Here is a 26,624-nt window from a genome sequence, read left to right as displayed (position 1 = left end):
AAAGCTTCTCTATTTGGATGATATCATAAGGTGACAAATCATAAACTGTAATATTTGCAACATATATATGAGTGAATAAATATACATTTAGAATATATATGAACTCCCAAAAATCAACAGGAAAAATAAGACATAGAACAAGCAAAATGCATAAACAAAAGAAGGCAAAACAAAAATAATGACTCATAATTATATGAAAAGAAGCTCATCTTCATAGATGAGCAGATAAATGCAAATTAAAACCACCCTGAGATACTTTTTACATCCATGAGCCTGATAAAAGTTAGAGTCTAAAAGTAATAATTAACAAAGATGGGAAGTAACATAAAATCTTGTCCATTACTGGTTAAAGTATAAACTGATACAGCTACTTTATAGAATATTACATTATAGAATAAACTTGTGAGTATGTATATGCAGTGACTCAGCATCTTCATTGCTAGTATGTACTCAAGAGAAACTTACAGGAGTGGACTAGGAAGTAAATACAAAATGATTACAACATTGTTTGTTATATCAAAAAATAAAAAAGACACCCAATTTTCCAGCAAAAAAAATAAGTAAAAATAAATCCTGGTGTATTCTAACAATGGAATAATATATAGCCATTAAAATAAATCAACTATTACTGTACATATGAATGTAAGTATCAGCAAAACATATTGTTTAGTGAAAAAGTAAGAAGCTGAAGAAGAATATATACAATATGGTTACATTTATATGAAGTCCAAAAACTTGCAAAATAAAGAAATGTATTTAGAAATAGATTCACATGTGAGAAAACTAGAAGAAAATTAATGAAAGGATAAAAGGGATAGCAGTAATTCTGAGTAGTTGAGGGGATTTCAATTGGAAAAAAATAGTATCATATTCTTTAAGTCAGGTAGTGGGTATTAGCATTTGTTTTACCATCGTTCTTTATTCTTATAGCTACACTATATATTTTCAATGTATTTAATGTATTTTTTGCATAATTAAATATTATGCAATAAATGAGAAAACAAAAAAGTAGAAAATGATAAATTACAATAAAAAATGGAGAAAAAATTATAATCTAGTTGAGTAATGGTATATTACATAGCTATTTTCTTAAGTAGATGTATGTACATGATGTATGCACGATTGTACATACATGTTCTTAATTATATATAAATATATATGTACATATTTTTAATATAAAATACTAAACAAAGTACACCAAAATATTAGCTCCTATGTTAGTGAGATATTGTTTTGTTTTGTTGTATTTTAAGTTTTACATAGTAGGTGTATTTGTCTGTTTTCATACTGCTATAAAGAACTGCCCAAGACTGGGTAATTTATAAAGGAAAGAAGTTTAATTGGCTCACAGTTCAGCACAGCTTGGAAGGCCTCAGGAAATCTACAATCATGGCGGAAGACAAAGAGGAAGCAAGCCAGCTTCTTCGCAAGGCAGCATGAAGAAGTGCCGAGCAAAGGGGAAAGAATCCCTTATAAAACCATCAAATCTCGTGAGAACTCACTATCACAAGAACAGCACAGGGGAAACTGCCCCCATGATTCAATTACCTCCACCTGGTCTCTCCCTTGACCTGTGGGGATTATGAGGGCTATGGGGATTACAATTCAAGATGAGATTCAGGTGGGGATACAAAGCCTAACCATATCAGTAGGCATGTGTTGAATTTTAAACTCAGAGAAAAATACTAGTGTTTTTATAGGATTCTTACTAAAGAAAAACCAGAAAGTAATAAACCATCTACGCTAAGACATAAAATTCAGTTGTTTAGTTACAAGATAGAATGTGGCCTTGTAAGAAAGCAAATTAACTTCTAACATACAAAGCCTTAGAGAAGATTCAAGTGACTGACGGATCTTAAACAGAGCTATTATTACAACTCAAACTGCAGTAAAATATCCTCAGCAACATAGATGTGTGTGTTTCACTAGTCAGAGCAATACAAATTAAATGAAACTCCATTGGTGGTGTTTTTAATCAGACAATTTCTGAAGATGTCCTGGCTTAATTCATAGATGCAAGCCAAATCTCTAGAAGAGTACCATAATAAGAAAAAAAAGAATACAGGCAATTGAGAGCTGTTCCAAAGTTTAGGGAGTTTTTGTAAGGAATTAATAAATAAAAATGTTCTTGAAAGAGAGAAATTAATATGCAGTTCATACTGCCAGAATTGCAGGCAATTTATCAAACTCCCCTAATCCTCCAAAATCGCTATTTTTTTTTGACACACACTTTACAGTACAGAAGAAAATGTCTCCGGCAATAAATCACAAAGTTAAAATTACCTAGTCTACAATTAACTAGACAGTGATGGTAAATCATTTTCTACCAAAAGAAAGAAATGTCTTGTCTATTCAGGTTCTGCTCTACTTAAAAGTTTTCCTTGTTGGTGAGTAAGTGGTTAGAAAATCGTATTTTATACGTACATTCAGCTTAACTATCATTCAGCTCAGGAAGATGACTCAGGGCCTTATCCATACCTTCAAGTTTGCTCTTAGCAAGTAATTGTTTCAGTATCTATATCAAAAATGGCTTAAGTCTGCAACATGTTTCTGAATGATTAACAAGGTGATAGTCAGTTCTTCATTGAATCCTGGATGCTTTATTTTTCTTAATAAGAGGAATTCATATGGATCAGCTAGAAAAAAATTAAGAGGAAAATCACATGGAAAGTTATATATTATATATCTATTATATATAATATTATATATCTATTATATATAATATATATCTATTATATATAATATATATTGTATATCTATTACATATATCTATTATATATATATTATATATATTATATATTATATATCTATTATATATATAATATTATATATTATATATCATTTCCAAATTCCCCAGCGTTCATATTTGTCAGTGCAAGTAAAGAGCCTTAGTGCTGATGAGGTTTGAGGTATGACCATTTGGCCAGAATTTATGAACTCTACATGTCGCTTGATGTGTGCTTCAGGGTACACTTTTTTTTTTTTTTTTTGAGACGGGGTCCTGCTCTGTCGCCCAGGCTGGAGTGCAGCGGTGCGATCTCAGCTCACCGCAAGCTCCGTCTCCCGGGTTCACGCCATTCTCCTGCCTGAGCCTCCTGAGTAGCTGGGACTACAGGCGCCCGCCACTATGCCCTGCTAATTTTTTGTATTTTTAGTACAGACGGGGTTTCACCGTGTTAGCCAGGATGGTCTCGATCTCCTGACCTCGTGATCCACCCGCCTCGGCCTCCCAAAGTGCTGGAATTACAGGTGTGAGCCACCACGCCCGGCCAGGGTACACTTTTAAGCAGAGACACTACTTTGAAGGTCATAAAAAATATAATAAGAGATAAGGCTAATTTCCTTTAATAATAATAATAATAAAATCCTTTAATAAGAATATAAAGGAATAATATAATAATTTTCTTTAATAAAATATAATAAGAGATAAGGCTAATTTCCTTTAATAAAATATAGTAACTACATACCAACAGAATTCCAAAAAAAGAAATGGAGAGGAAGGGAGCATGGGTCATTAATCTTGTCAAAAATATAAAATTATATACGAGGAATTCCTAGAAACTGTTTTCCTTGTCTGCGGCCATTGTGCTGCTGCTACACAACTACCGCAAGCAGCCCTTCACGCCCTCCTCCCAGTACAAAGCTAATTGACTTGTGAGAAATGTTAAGCTTGGAAGAGTCAGCATCGCTGCACTTATTTTTTATTCTACTCTGACGTTAGAATAATCCTTGAGTGGGGGAAAGGTTAAAAACCCCCCTGGATAAGTGTTACTAATTAATGATGATTGTTTTAAACAATATTTGGATAACTTTTCCTTGTCCCTTGACATAAACTTGATAAATAACTGAGAAGTGAGAAGATTAGTGGGTTGATTAAATTCCATTCAGGTACTTAAAGTTAGCTCCAAAAATTTAGCTATTTATAAATTGTCATGCATTGTTAATGTATAAGAGATGTAGATTTCATTTATCTTTGGTGGAGCGAGATGAAGCAGTGAATCATTGAAGACTGAAAGAAAGAAAAAGGTCTTTTCCCTTTTCTTTAAGAAGCATCATTAGTTAAAAACATGTTAGTTGATACCAGAGAACTATATTTAAAGGGACAGCAATAAGCAAATTGATTATTCTGGTGATTATTGGAGTGACATTGCCTTTTAGTTGTACTTTCACAAAAATTCACAATATTTGCCAAAGTCAAGTTATCCATTACACTATTAATTTGTCATTCTTTTGTTTATATAGTCAATATCTCTATCTCAATTGGATCTATCTCAACTGCTTCTAAACAAGCCACCATAGTCTCTCCCATTTCAACAATCTCTTCCAAGTACCATTTCATTTCTTCTTTTCATATTTTTGAAAACTTTTGAAAAACTACCTATTTTCCTCCTCCATTTCTCGTTCATTCCATTCTAGTGGACATGGAATCTGTTCCTCCTCCAAAACGGAATTTGGTAACCCTTAAATTACTAAACCCAAAACAATATGTTGTTTTTATCTTTACCTCTCTGTGGCATTTAATGATAAGACCACTACTTTCTTCTCTTTTACCCTTCTTTCTTGAATTCAGTCAAACAACGTACTTACATTTTTTGTCTTATTCTCCATCTTAGAAACCACCTCAGCTTTCTCCATTCAGCCATAAAATTGTGCTTTTCCTCAAAGATTAATCTGCCTCTCCTCTCACTCTATACTATCTCTGTTAGCTAATTTTATTTGTGCACATTGCTTATACTGGGCATTACATACACATATGCATGTGTGTACATGTGCACACACACACTGTATGTGGACATGTATATATATATGTGTGTGTGTATATATATATAGTATATATATAAATTACAATAACATAAAGGTGGCATTTTAAATTAGTGGAAATTACCCTGATTTGATCACTACACATTCTATACATGTAAAGAAATATCACTCTGTATCCCAAGAATATGTACAATTATGGTTTGCCAAATGAAAAAGTTCATACATTGAAAAATTTTAGATAAATATCAAACTTTCTCTGAAACTGTAACTGTAAAATGTAAAAAACAGTAATTGCTATATTGCTTATTTCTGAGTAGAAGAATATGAGACATTTCCCTAATCATTATGTGTAATTACAATTACATATATATGTTTATATATTACATACATATATATATGTAATTGTAATTACACATAATGATTAGGGAAATGTCTCATATTCTATATATATAGACAGAAAGAGAGAAAATATATGAGGGAGAGAAAGAATCTTTCCATCTCCTTTGAGTTCCACGGTGTTGAGAGTCAGGACAACTGCAATTGCTTCATCATGCCTGCTTGCAATTATAGGGCTTTTGAACCATTTGTTCCCTCCTTAGATAGCCTCATTTTTTTCAGATTCTTGCTTAGAAGTCACTCCTCCGTGGACCTCCTCTGACATATTAAACATTGCAGTCCATTATAAGCTGCAAGAGGACAGGGATTTTTGCCTGTTTTATTCCCTACTGTATCACCAGGGGCTACAGCAATATCTGACAAACAGTGGGCATGTAATGAATATTTGTTAAGTGAAGTAATAAATTCAATCAAATCACATCACCTGTTTAAGGCACTTCATTGGCTTCACATTGCACTTAGAATAAAGAGAAATTCTTTTTATACAATATAAGTTCCTGCAGAATGCAGACACTTTCTACTTCTCCAGCCTCCTTTCAACTCCTCTCCTACTAGCTTCTGTATTTAAGCCACATTAGACCTTTCTTCAGTTTTTTATATAGACTTTGTCGCATCACACCTCAGAGACTCTGTACATGTTCTTCCTCCTGCCTAGAAAGAGTCGTCCCTCCACTTTCGCCAACTAATCCCTGCTCAACTTTTCATCTCAGCAGGAGGCCCATTCTCTTTGGCAATCCTCTGGCCTCCAGCCCATTTATTATATACTCACATGTCAACATGTACTTCGTACAGCATGTAACACAATTGCACTTTTATATTTTAACAAATTATATTTCCCATATTGAACTGTAAGTCTCCTGAAAGCAGGAATTTTGTTCTTGCTCATCATCAACTTTTTCAACATCCAGTGCACCATTTAGAACTTAGATGTAGTCAATACAGGTTTGTGGAATGAAAGAGGAAAAGAAAGAATTAATATTCCTTTAAATTAGGATGGCAAAGATCGTATATAGAAAATTGGCTAAGTTGTGGTCCATTCATGTTTGCTCCCAATTAAGGAGCACAGCTATGAAAAGGAAGGCTTCAAATTAATAACCAATAGATTTTTTAAAAAAGAAAACTGGCCGGGTACTGTGGCTTATGTCTGTAATATCAGCATGTTGGGAGGCCAAGGCAGGATTACTTGAGCCCAGAAATTCCAGACCAGCCTGAGAATTTGGCAAAACTCTGTCTCTACAAAAAATACAAAAATTAGCCAAGTTTGGTGGCATGTGCCTGTAGTACCAGCTACTTGGGAGGCTGAGGTGGAAGAATAGCTTGAGTCTGGGAGGTCAAGGCTGCAATGAGCTGTGATCGCACCACTGCACTCAAGCCTGGGTGGTAGAGTAAGACCCTGTCTCAAAAAAAAAAAAAAAAAAAGAAAAATCACTAAGCAAATAAGACATGTGAAGGATCATGTCAAAGGTAAGAAAAATTAGGGGAACATTAAAAGCTTTCTTCCCAAGCCACTAAATCAACTTGACTAACAAAATTACCACTTGATTTAGCATTAGAAAATTACATTACATATCAAACATAAACCCATTAATCAAATACTAAAGAAATTTCTGAGTTAAATGGTATAATGTTAGCTTATGCTTATGCCAGAGCTGACCTTGAAAGATTGTTCAAATATGGCTCAGTGTGATTGAAAGTTCTGTGTGAATATGTTTTTGGAAAGATCCAACAGCAACACCTTAGTGTATGTTTTTGAAATAAAATGTATCTGAGTAGCAGCAAAGTTATTCTCAAATTTCCATTTTATAGCTGGAGATGTTATACCGTGACATATATGATAGGACCCAATATGGATTAATCCCTTTTAGAAGTCAATCGGGAAGAGGGGAGCAGTTAAAACAGTTGCACCGTGACATATACGACAGGACCCAATATGGATCAATCCCTTTTAGAAGTCAATCGGGAAGAGGGGAGCAGTTAAAACCGTTGCTTGGTTTACAAACATCAGAACAATTTTCTTACTCACACCATCTGATTATTGTATTTTATTTTTTCCCCAACGTTTAGACTACACAATGAGTTAAGAACGACAAAAATAAGCTCACCAATATACTATGTACATATTTACCAAAATCTGTGCATGCCTATACATATAAACACAGCTGATAATTTATTAGTTAGGCTCATTTGTAATTTTTGTCACTATAGACCAGTTTTTTATTTAAATTGAAGATTAGTATACATTTTAAATGATTAGTCAAAATAAAAAATCTAAAATGTGCTCTAAATACCTCTTAGGTCAGAAAAAAAAAAGTCAAAAGCTAGAATATAGAGAAATTAAGAAATGCCCTAAATTTCTAATCTGACAAAAATTCATACGAGATTTAAATATTTTAATGGAAAACAGAACAGAACTAATCATTGAAGAAATTATAGAAAGGAAACAAAATAAACAGATTATATGGAGGATTTTTAGAAGATAAGTAAATAAATTAATATACTAGGAAAAAACAAGGGAAATATAATTGATAAATAAATACAGGTAAGAGTTCTTTTGAAATAATGATAAAATAGAAAATATCTGTCAAAACTAAAAGGAAAGATGCATAAATATATAAATAAATGATAAAACGATGTTGCATACATATATGACTTTTTCAGAATCAAAAAATTTAAATTTCTGTAATAAAATTTAAATGTTTATAAATTTAAAAACTAGAAGAAAGAATGCTGACTGTTCACAATACAAATAAATGACAAATATTTGAGGTGATGGATATGCTAATTATCCTTATTTGATCATTGGACATTGTATACATGTATCAAAATATCACTCTGTATCCCATGAATATGTACAATTATTTGTCTCAAAAACAAACAAAAGATAATGGGAGAATGTTGAAAACTCAGAGAGAAGAGCAACTCTCACAGATAGGGATCCAGAAAACATTAGCAGCTGATTTCTCGGCAGAAACCTTGAAGGCCAGTAGGCAGTGGATTATATATTTAAAATAATGAAGAAACCTGTCAATTGAGAAATCTATAGCTGGAAAACTTATCCTTCAAAAATGAGGGAGAAATTAAGACATTTCCGGATTTTTTTTAAAACTGAAAAAAAATCCATTTATCCCTGAATTTGCCATTCAAGAAGTGTTAAGTCCTTCAGGTTGAAATAAATGAACTCTAGGCAATAACTATATAAGTAAATAAGCAAGCTGTATGAATATACAAAGCTCTCTGTAAAGGTAAATACATAAACAAACATAAAAACAGTCCTATTGTAATTTTGGTTTCTAACTCTGCTTTTTATTTTCTACATAATTTAAAAGGCAAATGCATAAAATGTAATTGTAAATCTGTTAGCTGGTATACAATGAATAAAGATATAATTTGTTACATCAATAACATAAAAAGAGTAGAGCTATATGTATAGCAGTAGAATTCTGGTATGTGATTGAACTTAAGTTGAAATAAATTCAAATTAAAATGTTATAACTCTAGGATGTTATATGTAATTCTCATAGTAACCAAAAACGAAATATACATAGAATATAAACAAAAGGAAATGAGACTAGAAACAAAATGTGTCACTACAAAAAAATCAACTAAAGATAAAAAAGAAATAATTGAGAAAATGGCAAAAATCAGTAACTCTGACATATTAAAACTTTCCATGCTACATAAATCTGAAAACTCTATTTCACATAAAACTGGAGCTGAAAGAGACAAATATTTACCTATAAAGTTAAAAGTTATATAGGGAACAAACACTAATTTTTTTTAGAAAAAATTATAAAAAGAGTAAAAATATGCCTTATACTACCCCAATTTCATGTTTTACAGCTCTGGGAAAATAGAAAATAAAATGTTCTGTTAGCATGAATCCCTCTGTGCCCCCAAAAAACCCTATGGATTGCATCATTATTACCTAAAAAGTCTATTGTCAAATGCAGCAGAGTGATATTTTTTACAAGGTAGATATTAATTTTAGATATGGAATAATATTGGTGATTTCAATTTTATAACACTGGGTTAAGATGAAAGAATGAGAAGATAAAGGTCCCTCAGCAATATAACTCACAAACATATTCAGCAGTAAGAAGTTACATTAATTATCTTTTGAAAGTCAATAATCTACATCTTTAATGTATGCATATAGCATAGCTAATGTACTATCGCTGGGTCCATTTATTCAATGAATAATTGCCGCTATGTGTCAGACATTTTTCTAGGCCTAGGAATGGATACATAAGTGAACAAAGCAAAGATTCTGGTTCTTGTAGAGTTTCCATTAAAAGACCATTTAGTAAAACTGTTCTTCCCCCAAATTATAAAATCTGTAAGATGATTTAACAACATGTGTAAAAGTCATTGTGGGCCAGGCACGGTGGCTCATACCAGGTGTGGTGACTCATAGCACTCTGTCACCCAGGCTGGAGTGCAGTGGCACAATCTCTGCTCACTGCAACCTCTGCCTCCTGGGTACAAGCGATTCTCCTGCCTCAGCTTTCTGAGTAGCAAGGACTACAGGTGCACACCATCACACCTGGCTAATTTTTGTACTATTAGTACAGACGGAGTTTCACCATGTTGGCCAGGCTGGTCTCGAACTCCTGACCTCAAAAGATCCGTCTACCTCGGCCTCCCAAAGTGCTGGAATTACAGATGTGAGCCACAATGCCCGGCCTTATTTTCTACAACTTTGGTAACTTTAGCATATACCCCAAATCTGTAAGACATAATATTATAATTCAAATGCAACTCATGGCTTCTCATTGTACTCTTTCTCTAGCTTTTGAATTATTTATTCTAATACCAGTTTTAATTCTGACACAAAAGCATGGGAGTTCTAATCAAAATCCAACCTTTTATCATAAAAACTATGAAGAAATTATGAGTAGAACTTAAAAAGGAAAATAGGCCTATTAATTAGATTTGTCTTTGTAGCATTTAACTCTATAATAAATAACATAATATTTTATGCCTATGAGTACCCAACAAAGCCTCCAGCTTCTATTTAGATATAAAATGTAAAAGTCACTACTGGATCCACAAGCAAGACTATGGTAAAGAAATTTCTCCAGCTAACCAGCTTCTTTTACATGATGTTACATGTTTGTTTTTTCATTTTGGCAAATATTGATTGTCATCTTCGTGTTTGTCTATGTCCCAAGTGCTGGGATACAGAATCTGAAAAGATGGACACAGGACCTGCCTTCAAGTTCACCCTTTTTTTTTGAGATGGAGTTTTGCTCTTGTCGCCCAGGCTGGAGTGTAATGGTGAGATCTCGGCTCACTGCAACCTCCACCTCCAGGGTTCAAGTGATTCTCCTGCCTCAGCCTCCCAAGTAGCTGGGATTACAGGTCCCAGCCACCACGCCTAGCTAATTTTTGTATTTTTAGTAGAGATAGCGTTTCATCATCTTGGTCAGGCTGGTCTCGAACTCCTGACCTCAGGTAGTCGACCCACCTCGGCCTCCTACAGTGCTGAGATTACAGGCATGAGCCATCACGCCCTACTAGGAGTTCACGCTTTAGTTGGGGAAAATATACAATAAGCAAGCCAATTTTTAAAAAGAGAACTGCAATTAGAGTTAAATGCTACAAAGACAATCTCACAGGAAGATGGGATGTAGAATGATAAGGCTCTCAGAATAGTAAGAGAAACTATTGCTTCTTACGATGTTTGTCTTTCTTTGTATCAGTGCTCAGCTGAGTCTGCAGTGCTTCAGAGGCAGCTTTCATTTTATAAAAATCTATGATTTCTCCTTCCAGTTGTTTTTTCTCTTCCTCGAGCTTCCTTATCTCCTCCTGTTGAATCATTTTAAGATGCTCGAATTTGTCCTGCAGCTGTGAAACCAATGTGCAGTTGTGACACCAAAGGAGTGTGGCTGAACACCCAAAAGAATATGCTTTTTTGTGATTATCAAACAAACCCAAATCATCACAGTAGAGCACGATCTTAATAACAATCTCAAAAACTCAGGAGTAAACACTCAGATACGGAATTTTTCTTTTCTTTCTTTTTTCCTTTTATAAGATGGAGTCTCACTCTGTTGCCCAGGCTGGAGTGCACTGGTGCGATCTCAGCTCACTGCAACCTCCATCTCCCAGTTCAAGTGATTCTCCTGCCTCAGCCTCTTGAGTAGCTGGGACTATAGGCATGCACCACCACTACAGGCGTGTGCCACCACACCTGTCTAATTTTTGTATTTTTAGTAGAGATGGGGTTTTGCCATGTTGGCCAGGCTGGTCTCGAACTCCTGACCTCAGGTGATCCTCCCGCTTTGGCCTCCCAAAGACCTTTTTTTTTTTTTTTTTAATATAGAGACAAGTTCTCAGTATGTTGCCCAGGCTGGTCTCAAACTCCTGAGCTCAAGTGATCCTCCCACGTCAGCTTCCCAAAGTGCTGGGACTGACCGGATGCAGTGGCTCATGCTTGTAAACTCAGCACTTTGGGAGGCCAAGGTGGGAGGATCACTTGAGCCCAGGAGTTCAAGACCAGACTGGGTGATATAACACAATAGTAAACTTCAACAGGAGAGAGAATCTGTAAACTTGAATATAGATCTTCTGAAATTATCCAGTCAGAGGACAAAGAAAAAAAGAATAAAAAAGAGAAAAGAAGGCTGGGCGTGGTGGCTCAAGCCTGTAATCCCAACACTTTGGGAGGCCGAGGCAGGCAGATTAAGAGGTCAGGAGTTCAAGACCAGCCTGGCCAACATGACAAAACCCCATCTCTACTAAAAATACAAAAATTAGCCTGGTGTGGTGGCACACACCTGTAGTCCCAGCTACTTGGGAGGCTGAGGCAGGAGAATCGCTTGAACCCAGGAGGCGGAGGTTGGAGTGCAATGTGAGCCGAGACCACACATTGCACTCCAGCCTGGGTGACAGAGCACGACTCTGTCTCAAAAAAAAAAAAAGAAAAAAAAAGAGACAGAGAAAAGAAAGCCAACAAGACACCATTAGGCAAACCATTGTCAGGTTATGGGAGTTTGAGAAGGAAAGTAGAGAAAGGAGAAGAAAGCTCATTTAAAGAATGGCTGAAAACTGCCTAAATCATGGGAAAGATTTAGACATCTAAATCCATGAAGCTTAAAGATTCCTAAAGAGGTTCAAACCAAATAGATACTCACCAAGTCACAATATAATCAAATAGTCAAAAGTTAAAGAAACTTTGCAGGTCAGGACAGAATCGAATAATACATTCAAAGTGCTGAAAGAAAAAAACTGCCAGCAACTAATACTATGTCTGACAAAGCTGTCCTTTAGAAAGAAAGAAGAAATAACGTGTTTCCTCGACAAACAAAGCTGAGGGCATTCAGGACCACTAGGTCTACCTTAAAAAAATGCTGCGGATCACGAGGTCAGGAGATCGAGACCATCCCGGCTAAAACGGTGAAACCCCGTCTCTACTAAAAATACAAAAAATTAGCCGGGCGTAGTGGCGGGCGCCTGTAGTCCCAGCTACTTGGGAGGCTGAGGCAGGAGAATGGCGTGAACCCGGGAGGCGGAGCTTGCAGTGAGCCGAGATCCCGCCACTGCACTCCAGCCTGGGCGACAGAGCGAGACTCCGTCTCAAAAAAAAAAAAAAAAAAAAATGCTTAAGGGAGTTTTTCAAGTAAAAATGAATGAAGTTGGGAGCGGTGGCTCATGCCTGTAATCCCATTTTGGGAGGCCGAGGTGGGTGGATCACCTGAGGTCGGGAGGTCAAGACCAGCCTGGCCAACATGGCAAAACCCCACCTCCAGTAAAAATACAAAAAAGTAGCCAGGTATGAAGGCCACTGAGATCGTGCCACTGCACTCCAGCCTGGGTGACAAGAGTCAAACTACATTTCAAAAACAAAAAACAAAACAAACAAAAAAAAAAACTTGAGGCCTGGCCTTCTGCTCCTCTCCAACCTCCCCTTCTCTGGGCCCAAGCCACCTTGGCTGAGGAGGGGGCGAGGAGGTGTGAGCCCCTGCCAGGAACCCCCTGCCCAGACCAAGTACTCGGCCCCCAGGCCTGCGTTCAGTGAGGCCTCCCGTGGCGTCAGCATGTTCGTGTGGAGGAATGTGGAAGTTCACTCTGTGGCCGTGTTCCCCTGGTACTCCATCCCCTTCCTGACCCCCCCTCCCCCCCGCAGCTACACGAGGCCCAGCAACCTGCCAGTCACTCAGTGGCCTCCAACCAGAGAAAACAACCTGCCAAGTTGGCAGCTGTTGCTCATGAGCGTCCACCAGGTGGGACAGGGAGTGTTGACCCTACACTAGGTGCCTGGCCAGCAGCCCCGGAAGTTCTGCTCAGAACCAAACTGAACAAATAACATTATCTAAAGCTTATAATTAAACTCCCTAAATTTTCTGTCCTCCCAGTAGCACTTTCAAATGCCTAAAAGCAATTAAAAGAAACATTTTTCCAATGTCTCACAGAACCATTAGAAACACAAAATTAATAGCTTCATAAACTATAGCTTCTATTTTATCCATAATAGAATGAAGTTGCATAAACCACATAGTAATTAATCTTTGGACAAAAGCAAACAATAAATGGAATATATGGCTAAGATCCTTTCTTTTTGAGTGTGGCCCAAGATAAAAATTTCTTCCAAAAGGGTATCATTAATGCAATAAGGCTTTTGTGGAATTCTATTTTGTATGAAATTCCTGTTTTCTATTAGCTACTTCTTCCTCTGTGACACAAGCCTCATTCCTTGTGAAAAACACGAAGCAGAAAACATTCGTGAGATCATCAGGTAAAGATCCCACAACCGTTCTATCACTGACACAGTATGTAGGTACATGGTACGACCCCTAAGGGACCACCTTGTGGCATCCTCAGCAACCACAGAGCCACAGGGCAGATGAGTGTTTGCTCCCACTGAGGCTCTGCAACCTCTGCCACCAATACTGGAGAAATCCTCCAATCTCACTGTTTTCTCCTGAACTTGTTCCCTTCTGTTTTTCGATTAATACACAGCAAACAGGCACACCTTCAAGCTGCCAAAAGCATCTTAAACGTTGTACACTTACAATCTTCAAAATATAGTTGTTCAAAAGAGTCATCAAAGTAGTTTTTGAAATAGAACACTTACTTTGACCACATAATTGAACCTTCGGGTATCTTGAATTGCACTTGAGAAGTCTAACCGATTAAAGGTTTCTCCCAAGGTGCAATAGCCATGCCTCTGGAAGAGCAACACAGAAGTTAAAATTAGTCAATTAGCCAAAAAGAATTGGCAGTTAATGTCAATTAATTGTGCGATTAAAAAAATTTTGGCAAAGGACAATTTGTTTTTATTTTGAAGACTGGTTTTAGATTTAGATGAGAGTATAGTAAAATTGTAGCAATGCTAATAATTTAAGCTGTTTATGTATACCTGAGACACCGTTAACTGACATTTTTTACAACCTGCTGAAGTAATGACAAAGACAAATATTTATTAAATATCTTGCTGGTTTGTTTTGTTGGGGACAAACTGGGGTGTGGACGACGTTAAAGCTAAGATCATAAAAAAACTGGATTCATTCTAGGCTACGCAACTAAAAATACATAAATCATCTGATTAACTGCATTGTAAGGATGTAGGTGTTACAAATATCTAGTTGAAACACAGGATTTCTCTGCAGGGGAGGCATGCACTGCCCGAGTTTGAAGTGTAACATGGGATTTCTCTGCAGGGGAGGCATGCACTGCCCGAGTTTGAAGTATAACATGGGATTTCTCTCCAGAGCAGCCATGCACTGCCCAGGCTGGAAGCATGCTCAACCACAAGGGTCAGGGCTGAGAGAGGCGCTTCGGTAGCAAGAAGGTGCTTCTGAAAACCAGCATTGGGATGGAGAGGGCTGAAGGCAAGTGCTGGATGTGACCACGGGCAGCTTTCAGGCTGGGAGCACGGATGCCAAGAACCCAAAACACCAAAAAAACTGGTGCTTAGACCCACAGGTCCAAGAACTGAAGGAAGAAAATGAAACAATTTATTTTCAGTACTGTAAACACTGCTGCTATTCTCTTAGATGTTTTTCTTCCATGATATACCCTTATCCTGTATTGGTTTGTATAGATTAGCACATTAGGTTTCAGAAGTCATTTTAAACTCCATCTTCATCCTCCATATTTGAAATATTTAAAATCTACAGATTTTCAGGTCAAAGTTGTAGAGATAAGTAAGCTAGAAAACAATAATAGAAAACATGAGATGACTGGTCTCAAATTCCAAACAGGTGACTTGAGATGTCCTAGAGAAAGCAGCTGGAGTCATAGCACCTTTGTCTCCAACAGCCGATACACTCAGAGGCTCATGTGCTTCTGTGCGCCAACCCCAATCGCCCTGACGGGTGCACAACTCAACTAAATATACTCATTTAAAACATCCAAATATGTTGACTGAGTGCCTGCTATGTGGAAAACATTTTCCTGGGAACTCTGGGGAAAGGAAACACTCATTTTGATATAGATTATAATCTGAAATCCATCACAGCTGATATTCCACACGATGGTGTAGCAGACACTTTCCAAGGTCACCACCCATCTCACAAAAGGAAATTAAATCTGATTCACAGAGCAGACCACAAAGAGCATGTCTGGACCTAGAACCACAGCATGTAACCTCGGAAGCAGTGAGACACCAGCCAGCATGGACAAGCAGCAGGCACTTGCTCTATACCAGGTGAGGGTGTGGAGACATGACGTGGTGCAGGGACACCAGCACCCAGTCCTAGTTCTGGTCCCTCTCAGCCTTGTTAGGTCCTGGTTCCTAGGATTCCAGGGAACATCCCCACAGCCTCACAATAAGATCCTCCTTTCCTGTATATGCTAGCTTGGATGGGATCCTCTGTTCTGTAATCAGTATGGCAACAGAGCAGATGAAATATTTAATGGTCTTTCATGAGCACTAAATTTTGTTTTTTACAAACTAGGTTAGATTCTGTCAAATAATCGTCTAATGGTGTATTCGAGTGTATATTAAGGATCTGATTCATTCTATACCCACTAACCATAAACAAACAGATTAAGTTTTCTTTCTCAGAATCTAATCCTTCAGTTTCTTGGAAGCTGGACTAGTTTCAGAGCATCTACAAACATTTCTGGAATATTTAACTTACCCTGAAATAACATACGATAGACAGTAATTCCCTAAATTATTTTCCCCAATTGTTGCAAAATAAAGCAAATGCAGAGTTTCTAGGACTATAAAAGGAACTCAACTTCCCGGATCCTAGTAAAGAAACAGGAAACAGCTTGAAGCTCTCTGGTTTGTTTTATGGCTCATGAAAAAGCTTTAGCCCAACTTGGCAAAAGAAAGGCAGGGAAAGAGTTCACATGGCTCTGCACAAACCCAACCCAATTACTAATTTCATGTTAGCCACTCTTTATGTGGAATTAGAGGGCTCACAGATGCCCTGCCCTCCAAAACATGCCACAGGGAGGACACATTCCCATCAGCATCAGGGGTTCATGCTAACACAGAGAAAATGCGTATGACCGCAGGAGTCCATGCTTGGTTTAAATAGCCCTGCTGTTGACTCAGATATGTACAGGTAGGCAGGAACCACACACTGCACACATATACCACATGCCACCACACACCATACATCCCACAGACCAATGTGTGCACAAATACATGCACAACCATACATACACACCATACATACAACACACATACACCATACACACAACACACACCAATGTGTGCACAAATACACAGCCACATACCACATGCACATGCAAGCACACACAGTGGCGAATCACTGCCTCAAAAGCTCCTCATATGCTATTATCTGTCAGAATGTGAACCATAGATCTGACATTGCAAAAGAAATGTGTTTTATGCAACTTTATTAATACATTTATTTAATGTGACTCCATATTCAACAGAAACAATCCAAGATACTCTCTTATTTATAATAGAATACTTACTTCTTTTGTGCTTTCTTTATGGACATAGATCCATTTTTCATGATAAAAACCTAGAATAAAAATTACCTTTGTTTTTAAAATCTGGCAAATCATTTCAAAATGAAGATTTTAAAGGAATTTAAATAATTGGACATGTTAACAAAATTATCTGACTTACTATATTGACAAGAAATGCTTTTACTTGGTTGAATGCAAACAGAATTGCTTTGTTTCTTAAATCAGTTTAAGATATGAACAATGATTTCAGACAGTACCAAGTCCTAGTAACTTAGAAGAAAATTAGTATTATTAATGACTGAAGCCATATGAAGACATAAATGATTATAAAATGCAATTACATTACTACATTCCTATGTACCCTAATAAAAAGTTCTATTCTTCTGTTGCTGTGTATAGTACTCCATAGAAACAAATTTTTCAGATAAATCTTAAAAGTTTCAAGAATCACACTAACTGTATTCTCCATGTGACCCTATCTTCTTCATAAAGTAGTCCCCCCGTATTCACAGTTTCATCTTCTACAGTTTCAATTACCCACAGTCAGCTTTGGTTTGAAAACATTAAGTGGAAAATTCCAGAAATAAACCATTCATAAGCTTTAAATTGTGTGCCATTCTGGGTGGTGTCATGAAATCTCACACCGTCCGGCTCTGTCCTGCCTGGGATGCAAATCCTCCCTTTGTCAAGCGAGTCCTACACTACCCGCCCCTTGGTCACTCAGTAGCCGTCTTGGTTATCGGATCACCTGTTGAGATATCACAGTGCTTGTGTTTAAAGAACCCTTACTGTACTTCATAATAGCCCCAAAGTGCAAGAGCAGTGATGGTGGCCATCTTGCTATAACTGTTTCATTTTATTATTATTCTCGTTAATCTCTTACTGCACCTAATTTATAAATTAAACTTTATTATAAGTGTGTATATACAGAAAAAAAAACATAGTATCCATAAGGTTTGGTAGTATCCACAGTTTCAGGCATCCACTGGAGGTCTATCCCGAGGTAAGGGAGCCTACTATACATTAACAGGTGTCTTGGTAACTCACAGATATGCTGCATGATAGAACTCTATGCCCTCTCACAGATAGGTCCCACCTCCAGCCTTCCCCTGCTGCCATCTAACATCCTAAACTCCAGCTCTGAATGTCTGTCTCCTGCTGTGAATCTTCAATGACTTCGAAACTCAAGTCAGGACACCTCTCAGTTTGGCCTCACTGCTCAAGATTGAGCTGAATTCATGACCATAATTCAAGCATTCAGATTCATGGGCTGTTTTGTGGGTTTTGCTATCTCTTATTTTGTTTTTGCACATCTTACCCACTGAAACGTTGGGCTGCAAAAAGTTTGATCACTAAATATGTAGGCAATGCTGGATACTGGGCTGTTATTTACATATTTGTATCACCTTTTATTTCATAAGATAGCACTGTCAGAGTAATTTAGTATTTCAACATAATCAACAAGTAAAATAAAATTAATGAGAATGATCTTACTTTGAGTATTTGTGTCATTTCTAAAATGGTCCTTTTTCTTTTTTTGGATGCATATTCATGCTCTTCATTATTGAGTATTTCTCCATCTTCGCTATTTAAGATACTGAAATAAAGACATATTCTATTAAAATATTTTTTCAGGGAGATCTTCATTTGGCTTTTCTTTTGTAAAAGGATACAAATACTTCAAAGTGACAGACTGTGGGCTTGAAATCACAGGGGTAATGTCTAATACATTTTTGTTTCATTTTGAGAAATAAGATGTATCCTGGTTCTTTGAGAATATTGTACCAGAAAGTGCTGAACATGTTTTAGAATCTCTGAAGGGTCTTGATATGCTTATCCAAGGTAGTTTCAAACATCAAAATGGCTTATTAAAACAGAGATTTTTTAAAAAACAACTATTAAAACTCCAGAAAAAAGATGGTAAGAACATGATGATACCCAATACTGACCAATGACTTGATGTATCCCTTACCCCATGCTGAGTAACCACTCAACATTTCTGTTTACTCCCTATATGTTTTAAGGGTTTAACTGAAGTTAATTATTACTGCACTGAACATGTTTTTATTAAGCACCAACCACATACACTGTTAACACATTTAACTGGAACCAGGTGAAGTGACATGTATATTTTTACTATTTAAATACGTTTAATTAAAAGCTGTTCTTTGTGAAACAAGAAAATCAAATCATAAGGCAATAACTAAACAATGGGAACACCTTTTACTTTTTAAAAAAATGTCTTCCTTACAGAAAAAAAAAAACACCTGTAAATAGTAATCCACATCCTCAAAACTAAAGATGTGTAAAATTTTTATTTTCCACACACTGATAACAGATTTTCAGTGTAAAGTGAGGAAGGAAGCTCTGTGGAGACAAGCTGGTTGGTGGAGGCATGCGAGAGTGGTGCTCAAATCCAAGGAACTAAAATTGCTTATTTGCCGGTCATCGTTCTTTGACAAGAAAATTGTACACAAGCCCCTTTCCACTCACCACTATTCACTTTTAGTAAAAAACAGCTGACTTTGCCAAATGAGTCACTTTCTCACTGTCAGAACAGACTTAAACAGCAGTGCCAACAGTTGTAAATCATCAAGACAAGCAAAGCACATTTGAAAAACATACAAACAACTGAACTTTTTGTGGCAGACATTATAACAGCAATTTATGGAAATGTGTTGATGTTTGTATTTTATATTTAGTCTTACACCAGTTTGTTATCATTGATTGAAATACTGAATGTAGAAGCTTTAGAATCTAAAAGGGCTTTTCTAACGAAAATTACAAACATATCAAAGGAAAAGCACAAATACGATGTTCTCCAGAAATAGTGTCGCAGAAATAAAGACAGAATATGGAAGGAGACAGGATTGCTGACTAATCTCATATGTACAGGGAGAACGACACTCCATGCAGCTTAGCTCCAACATATGAGCGTGGGACAGAAAAGCAAGGTGAACCTAAAGACATCCCATGGACACACTGAGCTGGAACCAACTCTGCCCATAGGTGGTGGGGCCAGGTTCAGATGCTTGCAGTAACCGCATCCTCCTGTGAATCTGGGTCTACATGGCTGTGGCTCCCTGGGGGCTACCCACACTGTGGATTCCACAGGTGATGGTGACCTTCTTGGGCACTGCTGGGACACTTCCTGGGCCTGCCTGGGCAGTGGTAGGGCTCAGAGAACTTCAGCGTTAGGGCCTTGGGGAGTCTATGTCAGACTTGAGGACCAAGCCTGGGCTCACAAATGACAACTAGGCTACTATTTTTACAAAGTATTTTAAATGGGGAAAAAGCCATTATTTTTTGGTTGTGGGTTTTACACTGTCAGGTAAATAAAAATGTACAAGTAGAGAAGAAAGATGAATGCTTCTGAAATTTAAATTTGACACATTAAAATGTTAATAAAGGAGTATTTAATTTATAAATCTTTCTATTCTGCATGTGTCAACTACATTTCATAGCAATCAACTACATGTCATAGCAAACATGTTCTCTTTTTATAACCTTCAAGACAAACATCACCTACTCTGACTTAAAAACAAGGGAACCTGCCCAACAACTTGATTAAAAAATGTCAAACAACTTCAACAGACACTTCTCCAAAGAAGAGACACAGCAGCCAATAAGCGCATGAAAAGATGCTCCACATCACGAATTGTTAGGTAAATGCAAATTAACACTACAATGAGATACTACCTCACGCTCATTATGAGGCTACTGGCAAATTAAAAAAAAAAAGTTTAACAAGTGTTGACATGGATGTGGGGAAACTGGATCCTTCATGCAATGTTGGTGGAAATGGAGGATGATATAGCTACTATAGGAAACAGTATGGAGGTTCTTCAAAAAATTAAACACAGAATTACCATATGATCCAGCAATTCCACTTCTGGGTATATATTCAAAAGAACTGAAAGCAGAGAATGAAAGATACTTGTATACCCACGTTCATAGCAGTATTACTTGCAACAGATAAACATGGAAGCAACCCACATGTCCATCAGTGGATGAATAGATAAGCAAAATGTGGTGTACACTATACACAATATGGAACATTATTCAGTCTGAAAAAGGAAATGCTGACACATGCTACAATAGGGCTGAAACTTGAGGACGTTACGCTGAGATAAGACAGTCACAAAAGGACACATACTGTCTGATTTGACTTATATGAGGTACTCAGAAAAGTCAAATCATACAGACAGAAAATAGAAAGCCAGTTACCAGGTCTGGGGGTGCTGGAGAATGAAAAGTTAGCGTTTAATGGGGACAGAGTTTCAGTGTGGGAAGATGTAAAAGTTCTAGAGATGGATGGTGGTAATGGTTGCACAATAATGTGAATGTACTTAACACCACTGAACTGTACATTTAAAAATGGTTAGGATGGCAATTTTATGTTATGTGTATTTTGCTGCAATTAAAGATAAACAGGGTGCAAGAGAGGAGAGGAAGTAGCAGCTTGTCTTGTTCATGCTGTCTGAGGTGCATGTCGGAGGGATGGGGTGGGGGCGGGAAGTGTTAAAAACAAAGAACAGAACATTATACAACACAAGCGGAAAACACAGGGCACAAATGCACTTGTATAAAACACAGAGTTTCCATAAACTTAAAACATGTCTGAATGATGGAGCTAACAGCCCTTAACTCCCCACACCCAGGCTGCACCACAGCATATGTCACCCCCTTGCTTGCAAATGTGCCCAAAAGGCAATGACATTCCAAGTTTCCTCTGACAAGCCCAAGGACAGGGCATGAGTTTTCCAAGTTCCTTTCCATTCAAGAAAAGGAAGAGAAGAGAATAGAGAAGAATCAACAAAACATCTCCAAATAGAAGTAAACGAGAGCCAAGAACGGAACTATTTCTCATAATTAAACCCCAATTTCTATAAATTACAATCCTCATTCTAGTGATGACCTATAATAAGATTTGCATTTTCCTCTGATGGTATTTTCCTTAAGAGATGGATAACAAGGTCTTAATCTTCATCTCCCAGACCACTCTAGGGTTCTAAGCACAGGCTTTACAGAAATGTGCTGTTATGGGCCATCATCTTCAAATCATTTCCACACAAGTCTAGGAAAATAAGACAGGCTAGGATAAGCCTCCGGTTTTTAAAATTGCTAATCAAGGGCATCAGTTCTTAACTATATTGCTGTAAGATATGTCACAAAACTTTTGTTACCAGTAAGAAAAATGACCAACATTTGTGAATGATTTAATTTTTAATAATTATTAAAGTACTACACTACACATAATAAAAAATAATACATACTCATAAACTCAACTTCCCTGAGTTGCCAGTAGGAAGCAACCCTGCCGAGCCCTTGATTTTGGATTTCTGGCCTCCAGAATTGTGAGGACATACATTTCTGTGGTTTTAAGCCACCGAGTTTGTGGTTATGGAATCCCAGAAAATGAATAAAATTATCTATCTTTTCAAGCTACTTCAGTTTGATATTGATTATGAAAGGTACATATATGCTATCAAACAGAAGAGACTTTAGGGAGAAAAAATCTCGCATAAATGCAACAAGTTGCCATGACTCTAAGTGCCAAGGTCATATAACATGCAGACTGTGATAATTTCACCAAAACCAAAACAAAGTGGAACAAATCCTCAAACACAGTTGCTGATAATTCCCACCCTGGCCTCCTCTGACATTTCCTTTGGATCAATTTGGCTGCACCTCTTCTGTCAAGCAGGAGCTGGAGGACATTTTGGTCAGCTCCTCCCCAGAAGGGAGCTACAATCTCTGCTCTAACAATCCCCAATTGTTGTCTTAAGTTAGACTGTGTTCATCAATGGCTACCTACTAAACTTAGCTTTTTATCTGTACATTTTCCAATCAGGTCGTATTATTTTCTCCTGGTAGGCAAATGTTTACATTTATCCATTTTCCTGATATAAAGCTACTTCGTATCAGTGTGTTATTAGTCTCTAATTATAAGAAGATAATCCAGAAGAGAAAGTCCAGTCAATTTTATATAAGTTAAAAAAAAGATGTGAAACCTATTTTCAGAATTAACATTTCCTTCCTAAATATCTAACACAACACACAGAAGAGAAAGTCCAGTCAATTTTATATAAGTTAAAAAAAAGATGTGAAACCTATTTTCAGAATTAACATTTCCTTCCTAAACATCTAACACGACACACTTACGGACTCTTAACACACCCTTCTTACACGAAGGGAGCAGCAGAGCAGAGGGCGGCAAGAGCACCAAGGCCAGGTGGAGCCACTGCCTATGTGGGCCCATCTCATTCCGCAGGGAGAAGCAACCGCACTGTGCACAGAGTGCAATCTGGCAGAAGGGAAACGCCGTCTTAAAGAGCTTCAGATGCAGCAACCTCGAGGAAGGGCTGTGCCAGAAAGTCCACCAGATGAGGCCGCAAACCTATCAAAGGGCATCAGACACTCTGTGCACAGGGTACACAAAACAATGCCTCCCACATTCTGTGACTTCCTGCGTGTGCCACTTGGACCACCACACTCCCTACCTGCACCATCTTACCTGGACAGACTAAATCTCAGCCACCTCATGACTAGGATATTAACATGGCTTCCAGTTCTATAAATTCCTCCCCCTTAAGAATGCATGTCCAGAAATGATGAAAACTGGACTTGTGAGTAGCTTTGTAGTAGGGATTACAGGTCCAGAATAGAATAGGTTCAGTAACATATTTAAGATATTTAAGGGAAAAAATATAAGCCAAAGATTTAACATCTAAATAGTGACTATCAAGGGTAAAAGTCACACATATTTTTTATGAGTACACACAAACACAGGAAGTACAGTGACCAGGAGCTGAGGGATGACCCACTAAAGAATAAGCTCCAGAAACCAAAATGACTAGAGGCAGATGCAAAGGTGAGCTGCAGGTGGTCTGTATTTATCTGTGGAGCTGCTGGCACATGACGGTGATAAAAGTGCAGCATGCCATGGTTACCAGCTTGGACAATGCAGACAAAGAACAACCACCAGAGAAGTGGTAGGGGCGGGCAGAAGATGTGCAGGAGCCAACTGGGACTGGGGTGTCCATCAGCTAACTGCAGTATCAGGTACTATGGGGAGCCAACCAAAGAAACTAAGTGTTTGCTATAAAGGCATTAGGATAAAAGTGGGAAAAAAAAGGGAGGAAGAAAGCCCTCTTAAATACCAAAAGGGTAAAAGCAAATAAAATAGAACAAGGTGGTTCCCTGTTATCTGTGATGTAAAAAATGGACTTGGCTCACCTATTAAATGGAAAACAGTCTTGGATTGGCTCACAAAGCAAAATCAAACACCATACTGCATATAAGATATACAGCTATAAAAGGCTGGGAAAATATATAGAGAATTTATAGGACTCAGAAAAAAAGTAACTGTCACAGGAAACTTTATAGCATTAAATACCTATATCAACACAAATTTAAATAATAAAAATAAATTATTTAAACATATAACTGAAAAAGCCAGAAAAAGAATAAGTGAACCAAAAGAAAGGGGTGAATTATTACAAATAAAAGCAGATATTATTAAGTAGAAAAAGAATAGAACTAAGAAGTAAATCCAAAAGCTGGCTCTCAAGAGAAAATAATCAACCAAAACAAACCACTAGGTATCTGATTAGAAAAAAAAAAAATAAGAAAGTTACAAGTGCTAACAGAAGAAAACTTAAACATTGTAAAAGATAAGGAAAAGAAAGGGATAGAGAGAAAAATGTGTAGATTAAAAGAGACTTTAAAAACATATCAAATTTTAAGAATAAAACAACACTAAACTATAGTGTCTAGGGATATACACTTGGTGATAAAACTATAAAGATTAGGGAAATGATTACCATTAAGAGTTTGGGAAGTGGTTATTTTTGAGGAGAGGAAGTAGGTTATAATAGAAATGGGACATGTGGTGGGCGCTTCTGGGATGATTGATAAAGTTCTATTCCTTGACCTGGGTGTGGTTACAAGGATGTTTCCTTTATAAAAATGAAGAAAAACATTAAAAAATCATTACAGGCAACTTTATAAAACTCTTTGCAGTAAGTTAGAAGTAGATGAAACATTTTTAAAAAATATTAAATTTAATGCTATTCCAATACAAAATCAAGTTTTTTTCTTAGAGCTAAACAAGTTAATTATAAAATGCATTTAAGAACAAGAAGAAACTATCCTAAAATTCATATGGAATGAAAAGAGAGCCCAAATAGCCAAAGCAATCCTAAGCAAAAAGAACAAAGCCAGAGGCATCACACTACTCAACTTCAAACTATACTATACAGCCCCAGTAACCAAAACAGCTTCTGTACTGGTACAAAAACAGACTCACAGACCAATGAACAGAACAGAAAACTCAGAAATAAAGCCACACACCTACAACCATCCAATCTTTGACAAGGCCAGCAAAAGCAGCAGTGGAAAAAGACCATCCTATTCAATATATGGTGTTGGAATAACTAGCTAGCCACATACAGAAGACTGAAGCCAGACCCCTACCTTTCACCATATACAAAAATTAACTCAAAATATATTAAAGATTTCAATGTAAGACCTCAAACTGTAAGATCCTGGAAGATAACCTAGGAAATACTCTTCTTGACGTTGGCCTTGGCAAAGAATTTTTGGCTAAGTTCCCAAAAACAATTGCAACAAAAACAAAAATTGGCAAGTAGAACTTAACTAAATGAAAGAGCTTCTGCACAGCAAGAGAAACTATTGACAGAGAATACAGACAACCTACGGAATGAGAGAAACTATTTGCAAACTATGCATCTGACAAAGGCCTAATATCCAGAATCTACAGGGAACTTATGCAAAAAAACAAACGACCCCATTAACAAATGGGCAAAGGAGTGAGCGGAAATTGCGCCACTGCACTCCAGCCTGGGCGTCAGAGTGAGACTCCGTCTCAAAAAAAAAAAAAATGGGCAAAGGACATGAACAGGCACTTCTCAAAGAAGATATATAAGTGGCCAACAAACATGAAAAAGGCTCAGTACCACACAGCATTAGAGAAATGCATCAAAACCACAATGAGACACCATCTGACACTAGTCAGAATGGCCATTACTAAAAAGTCAAAGACAACAGATGCTGGCAAGGCTGAGGAGAAAACAGAATGCTTATACACTGTTGACAGGAATGTAAATCAGTCCAGCCATTGTGGGAAGTGGTCTACAGATTTCTCAAAGAACTTGAAATAGAACTACCATTCTATCCAGCAACCCCATTACTGGGTATACATCCAAAAGAAAATAAATCATTCTACCAAAAAGACACAGGCACTCACATGTTCATTGCTGCGCTATTAACAATAGTAAAGACACAGAATCAACCCAGGTGCCCATCAATGGTAGACTGGATAAAGAAAATGTGGCACCTATACATCATGAAATACTACACAGCCATAAAAAAGGAATAAAATCACACCCTTTGCAGCAACATGGATGGAGCTTGACTTAATTCTAAGCAAATTAATGCAGGAACAGAAAACCAAATACCACATGTTCTCACTTATAAATGGGAGCTAAACATTGAGCACACATGGACACAAATATGGGAACAACAGACACTGGGGACTACTAGAA

General features: G+C 37.2%; 1 long non-coding RNA gene and 2 pseudogenes across 4 annotated transcripts in view; 1 reads left to right on the top strand and 2 right to left on the bottom strand.

Annotated features, from left to right (window-relative positions):
- The window catches only part of LINC01881 (long intergenic non-protein coding RNA 1881), a 71,871-nt gene that overhangs the window by 27,213 nt on the left and 18,034 nt on the right, over positions 1-26,624 (bottom strand). Inside the window, exons 3-6 of one of the 4 annotated variants that reach the window (NR_130701.1) lie at positions 18,550-18,652; positions 17,059-17,108; positions 14,234-14,326; positions 10,836-11,004 (exon numbers count right to left, since the gene is read on the bottom strand). This is a non-coding gene — a long non-coding RNA (long intergenic non-protein coding RNA 1881). Of the gene's footprint in view, positions 1-2,478; positions 2,637-10,835; positions 11,005-14,233; positions 14,327-17,058; positions 17,109-18,549; positions 18,653-26,624 lie in introns of all 4 variants that reach the window. The other 3 variants (NR_130699.1, NR_130702.1, NR_130700.1) reach the window with 3 other exon arrangements.
- SEPTIN14P2 (septin 14 pseudogene 2) lies at positions 8,439-11,006 on the bottom strand (annotated as a pseudogene).
- CICP10 (capicua transcriptional repressor pseudogene 10) lies at positions 13,149-13,414 on the top strand (annotated as a pseudogene).

This window comes from Homo sapiens, chromosome 2, assembly GCF_000001405.40.
Source record: "Homo sapiens chromosome 2, GRCh38.p14 Primary Assembly".
NCBI classification, from domain to species: domain Eukaryota; kingdom Metazoa; phylum Chordata; class Mammalia; order Primates; family Hominidae; genus Homo; species Homo sapiens.
Note: the sequence above shows the minus strand (reverse complement) of the source record. Positions and strands in the feature narration are given on the sequence as shown.